We start from the raw sequence: 12,975 nt of genomic DNA, 5'->3' as shown, positions 1-12,975 counted from the left end.
CCCTGTAATTACAGTTTATGAATATTTGTTTGAGTGTTAGGATACTTTTTTCTTTGCCTTTTGATACATCCTTGTGTGTACTCCTTGTTTATCTGTGACTTAGTTTCAGTTTTCATGTCTATGTGCTTCAGAAAGTCAGAAAAATTAATCATATGAGCTTAAAATGCCGATCAAGAAAAGCTCAGCAAGATACATTGTATTGAATGCAGTGATTTCTTTTAAAATAAAATATTAAATAATTTCTGCTTACCTGGAGGTAAGGGAATAGCTTTGTAAATATTCCTTTTTTGGAGAAAGTTCCACTGTGGTTTATATTCAGCCACAAAGAGGGCATGCTTCTTATATTATATCTCAAGGTGGAATTCATTTTGCATGTAAACAATGTGTAGATGAGGATGAGGTTTAGCCGCATCTATCCAAAAACTCAAAGTAACCATAGCTGAAAAAGATAGGAAGTTATTATTTTCTGATTTAGATGAGACTGGAATAGTGACTTCACATTTACCTGGGACCCAGGTTTCTTCAAGCTCCCTCCTCCATCTTCCTAGCACATGTCTTTCTTCTGAAGGGCATTTCATGGTTTAAGATGGCTGTTGCTTTGGCAGCCAACTACGAAGCAGTTGACTTATAATTGAAGGCCATGTTGTATTTAAAGAATGTATGACTTCGAACACTAAATGCGGTTCATAGTTTAGCTTAGTGAGGTGCTGTCTGTGGGAAGCACGCAAAGACAGACACCGACTGAACAGGCAGTTGTGATGACTTTAATGGAATCACATTTTCAAAGTTATGTGCACTCCCAGGGGGACACACTCATGAGTGCAATGTAGCATGTAATCAAATGTTTGAATTACAGGCTGGGTTCAGTGGCTCACACCTGTAATCCCAGCACTTTGAGAGGCCAAGGCAAAGGGATTTCTTGAGTCCAGGAGTTCATGACACCAGCCTGGGTAAGATAATGAGACCCCATCTCTACAAAAAATCAAAAAGTTAGCCAGGTATGGTGGTTAGTGCCTGTAGTCCCAGCTACTTGGAAGGCTGAGGCAGGAGGATCACTTGAGCCCAGAAGTTTGAGGCTACAGTGAGCCATGATCGTGCCACTGCACTCCAGCCTGGGTGACAGAGTGAGACCCTGTATCAACAAACAAACAAATGAAAGAACAACAACAACAACAGAAAACCACAATAGTTGAATTATGTTTTTTCATAGGCATTCTCCCATTTTTCCCTCCATCCTCCCTCTCCACACGCCCCACCCACACCTTTTCCAGAACACCCATAGTTGAATTCAAGGTAGATATATTTGCACGTTACGTAACTTCACTGTATAGTGAGGTCTCCCTACTCCTCCAACACCACCTTCCACTCTGCTCAGGTGATCTTTGGATCCTGCAGTTCTGTACTGGATGCAGAAAGAGAGAAATCCACCAATGCTAATGGGAGACACCTAAAAGGAATCATAAAGTAAAAAGATGGATACCCAGATTTCTGGCTGGGACAGACTGCATTTCTCAGCCATGGGGCAGACTGCAAGAGGAGAGATACAAGAATACACTCAAGTACTTTCAAGGGTCTCGCCACTACCTTTTAAAAGCCATTTCAGTCAGCCATGCAGTTAGTGGAAACGCCTGTGACAGTCTAGCAAAGTGCTGGCAGAGGTCCAGTTTTTGCTCACACTTTTTAGCTTTGATGGTGTCACCATAGGTATTTGAGTTTAAAAGTTGGAAGCAAATGCATCATAGAATCCTTACCACACAACATTATAAATTTGAATCCCATGCAGGTAAAGCCTTTATATTGGATTTGAGGGATGAAATGGCTGCTTTCTAAGATTTGGAGAATCAGAATGTTATCCCAAATCTCATTATAAAAATCAAATTAATCGATTTGGAGTGAATTGTCAAACACAGCACGATGGTAATGTTTTCTTTCTTGATTGAGTCATTAAACTACAAAATCGCTGCTATGTTTCTATTCTGTTATTCCTTAACCACAGCTGAAATAAATTTGGAAAGTGTTTTCAGACAGTTGGGATGGAGGAAACACAAGGACGCCATTACTACACTGTACAAACAATGCAAAGGTCGCTTTCCCACATCATCCCAAGGCTTGCTGTTAATCTGGGACAAACACAGTTAGATATTTTTTGATGGAGAGGGCATTGTCGTGGGTGGAGAAGAGATGAGGCAGTTCCCTTCGACCCAGCTGTGACTCAGCTCAGGTCACAACTTGTGGCCTTAAATCTCAAAGAGAATTAGATGTGTGTGATTTCACAAGTTGGACTTTCTTTTATTGAACCTATTTCTAAAGCACAAGAAGGAAATGTGCAGCCTACCGTGCATTAAAAGGCCAGTAGACACTCTTACTATCTGTATCCCCTGGTTCCTTTTGTGTCTCATAAATAAAATATCTCTACAAAAATATGGAAAATATCCTCGCTCTAAATTAGGAAAGCAGCCTTGCTTTAATTTCCTTCTCTGCAAGTTGGCAGCTGGGTAAAAGAAAATATTTTGACTTCCAGAGATGCTATTGTCCCTCCTTCAGCCTCCCTCCTAGCCCTGGGCTTCAGGCAGTCTGCAGGGTGTTCTTTCTGGCCAGTCTCTGGTCAGATCTGATATGCTTCTTCTTGAGAGAGGCCCCTGTTTCTCAGCCAGCAGAGGCTGCAGTGGGGAAGAGTTGCTGCCTGCAGGAAGTCTAAAGTCCAGTCACATCTTTCAGCTCCATCCTTAGCCTACAAGATAGGAATGTGGTTTCCTTGATAATGTTCTGCTGAACTGTCTTGTACACAAGATAATGTTTGCTTCATCATCCCTGAAATATGTTTCCAAAGCTTCGTTGTGATGGTCAAGAAGCAGTCCGTACCTTGGAGAGAGGCCCGGGGAATGAAATTCAGAGAGACAAGTATGTCAACCCCACCACCTCATTCATGTATTCATTCAGTAAACAAAGTGTCTGAGGTTCTACTGAGTGTCCAGCAAGTGTGTTAGGCACTTGGGGGATAGAAGTGACAAACACAGATAGCTCCCCCCTTTGTGTGGCTACGAGTCTAAGAGGTGACCCAGACAGCACTTTCTGTCTCTCTCACTCTCTTGCTTTTGCTCACTCTGTGTGATCTTGCCCCTCCCTATCTCTCCAATGATTTCTTCTATAACTCTTGTCCTTAGTCACCACACAACTGTCACACTGAGCTTCTTACTCTTTCGTGAACATGTCAGTAATTCCTTCCCCACAGCCTGTATACTGGCTCTTCTCTGTATATGAAAAGATTTCCACAGGGTGGGCTCCTTCTTTGTTTGTCTCTTCCCAACCAGCTTGAGTTACGTGAGATCACTTGACTGGTTTTGCAGCATGGACTGTGAATGGAAGTAGCATGTATTACTTTCTGGCCAAGAAAGTAAATGACCCTCCAGCTCTGTCTAAGCAATCTGTTAAGATGGTGGCATCTCAGTTTGGAGGACCCTCGCTCAGCTGGAGTCCATTAGTAACTACAAGAAGTAGAGCCCCCGAAAACCCACAGCATCACTGAAAAATATGTTTCCATTGCATTAAGCCAGTGAGGCTCCATGGTTAATTTGTTACCCCAGCATAACCTTACCTGACTAATAAATAAGCTCATTTGAGTGGAGTAGACACCATTATTATTCTCACTTTACAAATGAGGAAACAGGCACACAGAAGTAATAATCTACCTGTAGTCACACAGCTAGTAAACAGTAGAACTGGGATTTGAACCCAGGTAGTCTAGCTCCTAGGACTGTGGTAAACTGCACAAACAATGCAGGAGGAGGCACTTAAATATAATTAGGTCCAACCAAGGGAAGTACGGTGGAAAATTCCAGCCTGAGGAAGCTATTCTGGAGTGGTACACACAGCAGGATCTCAATAAATGTTAAATGAATGACTGGATCTTTTTAAGGAGCAGTATATTCAATTGTTTTGGCTGCATAAGAGAGTACCACCTAGTGGCTTAAAATAGCACACATACATTATCCCACAGTTTCTGTGGGTCAGGAGGCCAGGAACACCTAACTGGATCCTGCACTCAGGATCATACAGGGTCATACAAGGGTCCTATGACCCTAAGTGAACGTATCAGCCAGGGCTGCTGTCTCATCTTCAGCTCAGGATCCTCTTCCAAGCTCATGTTGATGGCAAAATCTAGCTTCTTACCATTGCAGAAATAAGATACCCTTTTCTTGCCAGCTGTCAGCCAGGGGTTGCACTGTGCTCCTAGAGTCCCCTTGAAGTTCCTTGCCATGTGACCATCTCACAGGCCCTCTCACAATCTGGCAACTTACTTCTCAAAGGCCAGCAGGAGCATCTCTCTCCTGTAGGCTACTATGGAGTCTTACACACTGTAATATAATCATAGGAGCAACATCCCATCACCTTTGCCACAGAAGGTAACCTAATCAAGGGGCAGACTGTTCCATCATATTCCCAGGTCCTGCCTACACTCACATGGGAAGGGGTTATACCAGGTGTATATACCAGGGGATGGGAATCTTGCAGGCCATCTTTTAATTCTGCCTATCAAAAGCAGTGAACAAGGATCAACTATAACACTTTTTTTTTAACACTAATTCATTGGCTACTCACTATTAAATGCACAACCTAGGGCTGAAGTCTGTGAATGGTCACATATTAAATAGACCATGTAAGTCACACCTCAAGGAAAAGTAAGGGAGTTAAGACAAAATACAGAACTCACACTTGGCCCATGAATTAGAAACTTGAGTAATTAAAGACAGATGTTCTGTAGGGTAATTGGGGTGAATGAAACTGGTGATTTCAGTATATGCAAGCTAATCTTTCCAGAACCCCTTTTCAAAGTTCATTTTATTGAGCAATAGTTTAATAAACTGCATCCATTTCAAGTGTACAAATGGATGAATTTTGATAATTGTTGTGAAACGACCACCACAAAACAATAGCTAAACATTTCCATCACCCCAAAAATATATCTGATGCCCCTTGATAGTCCAGATATTTCTCTACAACCCCAACTCCCACCAGGTAGCCTTTCCAGCCCCCTTTAACTGTCCTTTTAATTAAATAAAGGCAGTATGGTACAGTGGTTTGGCACTCAATACTTGAGTCAGAATGTGTTGTTTGGATCTTCCTTTCCCTACTTTCTTGCTGTGTGACCTTAAGCAATTTACTAATTTCTGCCTGCTTCAGTTTTATCTAAAAAATAAGATAGTGCTTCTCTGAAAGATAGTCATATCTCGAAGAATTCCTATGAGAATCGATGTAGTTGATAGATGAGAAGCCTAAGTAGTTCTTGGCACATCATGAGCACTAAATAAATGTTTACCGTGTTTTTTATTGTTATTGTCAATATTGTTCAGTTCAATTAAAAAGCCACTATAAAGATGGCTAGTAGAAGTTAATGTTCATTAAAATATATTTATGTCTTTTCCTGGAGCACTCTTCCCCCAGATATAAGTACTCCAACTCCCTCCTCTTCTTTGAATATTTTCTCTAATCTCAAACTCTGATTGAAGCCTACCCTGACCACATTATCTAATACTGCAAGCTTCCTCACCCCACCCCATCCCACCTCCTCTTTCCTGATGTTTCCCTACCCTGCTATAGTTTTTACTTCTCCTTAGAATTTATCACCATTAACATCCTAAATAATTTACTTATATATTATATTTACTTTTTATTACTATCTCTCCTTATTAGAATGTAAGCTCCATGAGGACAGAAATCTCTGCCTGTTTTGTTTGCTGATGTACCCCAGGCTCTTAGAACAATGCCTAGCACATGATCAGCGCTCAGGAAATACATGCTAAATAAAAGAAATTGGAACCTGTGGCCTAAGCTTTATTTATATTATCACATATAACTCTTAAAACAAAACCATGAGATGTAGATATTATCACTACCTTTTGATAAATGAAGAAAATAAATCTTGGAGAGATGTAGCTTGTCACAATATACACAGTTTAGTTGGTGCTACTCCAAGACATACTCTTTTTGGCTGTAGTATACCATATGGAGGAGCTTGGAGGAACCCTAGGGTGGATGTGACGAGTCAGACATTGTTGCCCAGCTCTAGTAACCCACAAGCAATTTGTGTGTTTACATGCACTGGATTTTGGATCCACTGGCTTATGCCAAGCCAATTCCTTATTCCTGCCCTGCTGCTTTTGAAAGTACTGGAGTGGCAAGAGGCCGAGGCATATTTTTGAAGGATGAGCTCATTCCCTGGCCCGCAGCCTTACTAAAGTCTTCAGTAAATCTATTGAATCTATGGCAGGAGGTTCAGCTGCATCAAATTTAGGATTATCTTGCTTTAATACAGCTAAGACTGCAGAATAATGAAGATTTGGACCATCATATAACTCTGAATCAGGGACCATCTTAATACAGGAAAGATCTTTAAAGTATGACTCCCTTCCATTTTTTTAGGCTGTGTCTACACATCACAAAGTAAAGATGTCAGTTATGGACACTAACTGATGTGGGTTTATTTCTTTGCTCTATCTGTCTTGGTATGGATTTTCCAGAACTAGACCCTGGGACCAGGAATTGAGTTCAGGTAGTTTATTTGGGAGGTAACTGCAGGAACACAGTGAGAAAGTAAGGAAGACAAGGAAAGGAGGAAAGCTAATAGAAGCTATGTTAATGAGTTGGTTACTGCTGTGGGAAAGTGGGGCTAAATGCAGCTGAGGGCCTGTGTAGAACACAATTCAGAAATGTCCCAGTGAGGGGTGATGATGCAGGGGTATTATGCCATCATCTGTAACCTTTTCTGGGCCCTTACCTCCCCTGCACTTCCAGCCTGACCAGTGCAGGTGACCTAGTAGACTTCCATTGCCGGAGATCGCCCTGGAGCAGTTTGAATTTAGGGGAGCTGTCTGCAGCTGACCTCTATTGAAAGGCAGTTCTCCATGTGTCGCTGGCATTTCTAACATCTTGTGAACAGAGGCACTCACACTTTTGGAATATCTTTTCAAAAATATTTGTTTAGTGAACAGTCTCAAGAGGGATAGAGGTCATGTCTCCCTCTAGAGAGAAGGGCAGGTTTGTTTTCTGTCCCTAAGGAAGAGAATGTCTTCCTTAGGGACAAAGGTTAGGCAAACTTACCATCCATCACAAAAGATTTCGGTTCTCTAAGCTCAGAGATGATGTCCTGTAATGCAGTCCATTATGTGAGCAGGTGTCACCTGACTCCCATAAGTCACCTTGTAGGGACTGGGGCTTGGAGGGACTGGAGCAAATGGTGATGCTCTGGCTATTACTATTGTTGTGAATAATATATTGTCCTTGATCTTGGACTCAGGTGTCTCATGTCTTCTAACAGCATCCATGAAACTGGCAGAATGACTCATTCGCTTGAAAGTAGAGTAAAATTTCAGACCTATCACAGTTTTTGGGGACCTCCATGGTGGATCTAGGGGATATGCACAGGGTTCCAGCTGTGACTACCAAATGCTATGCTTCGCTCTATTGATAGCAGTATTAACAGGATAGTACAAAATCTCTGTTATGTCCTGCATGTTTGATTGAGCCTCAGACCTAAGCATTGTGTTCCTCTAAGTAGACCAGCCCTCTTTTAAGGATAAAAATAATATTAGGGGCAAAACCTATGAGTGTGTAGAAGTATATTGCCTATTGAATACTCACTATATATTTCATTTTTTCAAGGCAAGACACGTTTTCTATTTTGTAATATTTGGAATAGAATAGATTCACTGATTAGTGAACATTGTAATTATTCTTTTCTGAATTAATTATGTTGAACACATTAGAAAATTGCTAGGATTGTCTTTTGTAATGGAGGTTTCATGTTGTTTCCATTTTCAAGGAGTTCTCTCACGTACTGTGGTATGCAGAGAAGGGTTGTCTTCTGCTGGGCCCAAGGAGGCATCAGTGGGCTTGCCCCACCTCCACCCCTTGCCACTGGTTAAGTTGGGTAATTGAAGTTCTTTATTCTATGAGGCCAGGTCTGTCATATATCACAATTTCACCAATATGATCTGGATCTGTAGCTAAATTCTGTCCCATTTCAAAGTTTTCTTTGTTCTTTCACCCTTGTCACATTCTTTTAATGACATTGGGCAGGGCAGGTCTCTCTACCTGTTTTTTGTTTTCCTCGAAGAAAATCTTGGACACTTGGACCCTTTCCTTAGCAACTTCAAAGGAAAATAATTAGTTTGGATTTTGATTGAAATTGTAAAAAATCTGTAAAAAATGGGGAAGAATTAACATCATTATTGATATTTTGTCTTCATATTCATGAACATGTTATTTCTCTCATTTTACTTCAGGCTTCTTTAGTGGCTTACGATAGTTAAAATGTGTAATTTTCTACATAAAATATTGCATATTTTGATTTTGTATGGTATATTATATATTATTTTGCAATTATAAATGGCACAGTTTTTAATATTACAGTTTACAACTGCTGGCTGAAAGTTTATAGAAATGCACTTTGCTTTTGTATATTGAAATTATTGCAGCCACCTTACTGAACTCTTGTTAATTCTAATAATTTATCTGTGGATTCTCTTGAGTTATCTATGCAGGAAGTTATATCATCTGCAGATTATAACAACAGGTTAGAAATTTTAAAACACTTTCACATACATTATGCCATCTGATTTTCCCAGAGCAAGTATTATCATCTCCATTATAGAAGTGAGAAAATAGATCAAAAGATTTTAAGTGACCTGCCATAGGTACCAGGTACCAAGTTATTGAGGTAGAAGAATCTAGTCTCATGTCATCTTATTTCAATCCAACACTGTGCCTCCTAAAATCACTCACCTTGAAAAGGAGATGAAAACTACAATTGGAGAGAAGCCACGGATAGTGGGGGTAGATGGAAAAGAGGAAAATAATTTCACTTACCATGTGAACATCAAAATATCATGAATTGGCTAAGTCTTGATTTATTGGCCATAGGGACTTACAGACTCCTTTTTATTTTTTCCCGTTTGCAAGGTTTAATATTATTGGTATGTCTATAAAAGTAAATATTTCAGTTTTGTCCCAATGCTACTGAAGTAATGAAGTCCTTGGCTGCAATTACACAACTGTGGCAAGATCCAGCTACTGCAGTTGTAATGGTGGCCTCATAAGTGGTAGGAACTAGTATCAGTAACTATTCTGCCTCTCATAATGCTTTGTAGAATGACAAAGATGTCACCAAAGAGTCTATGTTTATGTCATCAGAACCATTATTGCAAAAAGAAGGTCACCATTTCTTCTTTTGTCTTCACTCTGCAAAATCTGCAAAAGTACTTTAGAGTTTGGATTCAGTAAGAGTATATCCCATTTCTTCCTGTGGTTATTTTCAAAAGAGGCCTGGAAAGCAAATAGAGGAATTTCCATTTAGTAAATATAGGAATTTCTTCCACTGCCTTGGAGAATATGTTTTCTCTCCAATGTCAAGTAGATATATTGGAATCTACCCATTGGATAATAAGGAAATAGAGTCTAGGAAAACTCAAGAGCAATTAAGTGTTGGTTTCCATGTTTATAATAAAGATCTGGCATCTCCCCAAGTTGTGCTTGAAAAAAATATGTTTTGTTATAAAGCCAAACAGCTCCTATTCCCAGGTAGTTCAATATTGGTTCATAGTCTGCAGTGATTCCAATTATGAAACCAAACTGGATTGAGGTGTATATACTGAATAACAAATATTTTACACCATACATGTCCTATGACATGAGATCCGTCTCATCCCAAATGCTATCTAAAATGCCCAGTGCACACCAAGAACCTCTTAAATTCCCTTGTTGAACCATTTGTTTCATATGGAAGTGGGAATTACGGATTTTCAAGCAGGACTTCTGGTTGTCACTCACATGAGGCAGAGCTAGACTGGCTGTCCAATCAGTAAATGAAATGATATAAACCTAATCACCTCCAAGACCTGAAAACCACACTCCTTGATTCTTGCCAATACAACTCCATATGGAAACTTACTATACAAAATACTCCAATGAATTCAAGTGCCAGATTGTTGGAAACCTTCCTTAAGAAAAAAGAAATCTCTTTTATTCAGGTAATTATTTTCTTTAACAAAGACACCCTCAGTTTTATTTAAGGGGCTTAAAATTAGGTGTCCTTTCTCTTTTTCTTTACTCTGAATGCTTCAAGGAAAGTATTTTAGAGCTTATATTTTAGAGTGTGATTTTATAGAAAAGGAGCTTCATCGTGGAAGGTTCCATGCAAACCCACTAATGTTTGAAATGATCCTTTAAGAAACAGCTTTTGGCTGGGTGCCCTGGCTCCCGCCTGTAATCCCAGCACTTTGGGAGGCCGAGGCGGGCGTGTCATGAGGTCAGGAGATCGAGACCATCCCGGCTAACACGGTGAAACCCTGTCTCTACTAAAAATACAAAAAAAAAAAAAAAAAAAAAAATTAGCCGTGCGTGGTGGCAGGAGCCTATAGTCCCAGCTACTCGGGAAGCTAAGGCAAGAGAATGGCATGAACCCGGGAGGTGGAGCTTGCAGTGAGCCGAGATCGTGCCACTGCACTCCAGCCTGGGCAACAGAGCGAGACTCCATCTCAAAAAAGAAACAGCTTTTTTTGGTTTCTGGGACAGCATGAGACAAAGCCAAGGAAAGAAGATGAGAAAACAGCTGAAGTGCAAAACCACAAGAGATTTCTCAGGAAGATACATTATTAATGCATCTTAAAATGTTATCATTACCAAGACTGAGAGTTGACATGTATGTTTGCAGGCTACTTTGCTTACTCTTCTTTTGGAAATACTAAACAAAACAAAAGCAAGTGGATTGATAGGCTTTTTTACGAACCTTGCTGAGCAACAATATACCTTCAGAGGGCTGGGGATGTATCATGTAACTCATGTGTGGCTTAGTTTTAGAAGAGTCAAGAGAATACTATTGGTACAACCAGAAGTAATTTTAAAACAAGTCATTTACTTGAACTTCTTGGAAACAACTAAATATTTAATACCCAGAAATATTGCTTACAATGTCTTCTTTCCTCTCCCATCACCATCCTTAAACACTATAACCAGATTTGTACCTCTTTCAAGTGCTCAAAAATCTCAAGTACAAGTTTTGCAAGGGTCCCCGTTGGAGGCCAGGGCAGGTACATGCTGAAGCTGGACAAGCCAGAAGATCTTTAACATTCTGGAGAAGGGAGTATTTAGGAACATTCCTAAGAATTATATATATATATGCTATATATATACTATATATATATATTATGTATATATATAGTATATATATGCTATATATACTATATATATATTATGTATATATATTATGTATATATATAGCATATATATATATTATGTATATATATAGAGAGAGAGAGAGCCAATTCCACATAAAACTGCAGAAAATAAATGTAATAAATCCCAAATCAAATTTTAGCTTGACCACTTCTAAGTTCTGAGTTGACAAAGTGTAGCTAATTATTTCTGGGTTTTCCAAATCTACACTAGTGTTTCCTTATTTTGAATAGGGGCTTTTAATAAATGCCTTTAATAAATGCTTTTAATAAATGCCCATGTAAGGATGCCTCTAAGTCAGTCTTGCAGCATATATTAGTGAGGAGTAGATTTGGAAAACTTGACTTTCCACAACTCTGCAAGACTGAGAAAAATTGTAGAATTCATTTAGCTTCTGTTTGGCTTCCCTTTGCTATTTATCTTAATAACTAAGTGAGCTTTCTGCCCTTGGACAAAGCCCAGGGGACCAGTCACACAGAGAGATTCTTGTGTGCAAATGCCTGCTTCTATGAAAAAATCTCTGTAGAGTAAAATTCATTAGCTGTCATGGTATGTGAGCAGAATATTGAAGTTTTGAAGGTTGAAAAATTCAATTATTTGCTTGTTGAGAAGCATGCAATTCTTCAGAGGTATCATTCTGAATGGAAGTTTTTGTAAAAAGAACAGTAAGCATAGCATCGGTCAGAAGAGCCAGATTTCTCACTTTTGTATGATCTTAGGAAATGCAACCACTCAATGTGTTTCCGGATATTCCTCTGATTAGGTTCTGTGGATGAAACTGTTACATGGACTGTAAAACATTGTAGAAATATAAAACATGGCCTGGTGCGGTGGCTCATGCCTGTAATCCTAGAACTTTGGGAGGCTGAGGTGGGCGGATCACCTGAGGTCAGGAGTTTGAGACCAGCCTGGCCAACATGGTGAAACCCCGTCTCTACTAAAAATACAAAAAGTAGCTGGGCATGATGGTGCATGCCTGTAATCTCAGCTACTCAGGAGGCTGAGGCAGGAGAATCACTTGAACCTGGGAGGCGGAGCTTGCAGTAAGCCGAGATCGTGCCACTGCACTCCATACTGGGCGACAGGGTGAGACTCAGTCTCAAAAAAATAAATTAAAAAAATTATTATTCTCATTTATCATGTACCTAGTCCATAATAGACATCTAATAGATATTCCTTGAATGATTTAATGAATGAATGAACAATGTGGTTACTCTGAACCCATTGATGGAATATTTAGGATTTCAGATTGCATCCATACTAATATTATATCTCCTGCCAGAAGTCTGGGGTCAGGGGTTGATACGTAATTGTGGTTTTTCTTGTTTTCCTAATTTTTGCATGAGTTTCTTTTGTTATCTGTTGATTTTCATCTTAAGTGTCAAACATAAAGAGTCATTTCAATTCAACAGACATTTATTAAACCCTTATTAAATGCCAGGGAAGACATCATCTCTACCTTCAAGGAGTTTCCAGTCTAGCAGTAATTTCAAACATGTAAAGGAGTGGTATTACAGTGGGGCAGATTGTTACCAAGGTGCTATGCATCATGGAGAAAGGGCATTGTCTTACTCTGGGGAGCAGGGGAGTGACACCTGTGCGGGGTGCAGAAGGTACTGTAGACAGAGTGAGCAGCAAAAGCAAAGCTGAAAGTATAGATGAGTGGGGGTTGTGAGTCTCCAGAATGTTGTTCTTCAGAACTGTTACTTGTATTGCTAGATTCGCTTTCATATAAACCCTCTTTCA

General features: G+C 39.7%; 1 protein-coding gene across 3 annotated transcripts in view, besides 2 other annotated features; it reads left to right on the top strand.

The window, feature by feature from the left end:
• ARHGAP6 (Rho GTPase activating protein 6) overlaps positions 1-12,975 on the top strand; it is a 528,377-nt gene that overhangs the window by 201,425 nt on the left and 313,977 nt on the right. The window lies entirely within an intron of this gene.
• Positions 2,141-2,285: an enhancer, noted in NCBI's record as "145 bp enhancer 58 fragment used in the MPRA reporter construct; PK_construct_3552". NCBI's record gives its function as "activates an SV40 promoter by MPRA in HepG2 cells {active_cell/tissue: HepG2}" and the evidence as "EXISTENCE:reporter gene assay evidence [ECO:0000049][PMID:23512712]".
• Positions 2,208-2,218: a transcriptional cis regulatory region, noted in NCBI's record as "NFE2L2 motif; enhancer activity is reduced when this motif is scrambled". NCBI's record gives its function as "necessary for full MPRA enhancer 58 activity {active_cell/tissue: HepG2}" and the evidence as "EXISTENCE:site-directed mutagenesis evidence [ECO:0005528][PMID:23512712]".

Source organism: Homo sapiens, chromosome X, assembly GCF_000001405.40.
Source record: "Homo sapiens chromosome X, GRCh38.p14 Primary Assembly".
In the NCBI taxonomy this organism is placed as follows: Eukaryota; Metazoa; Chordata; class Mammalia; order Primates; family Hominidae; genus Homo; species Homo sapiens.
This window is presented reverse-complemented; position numbering and strand designations above follow the sequence as displayed.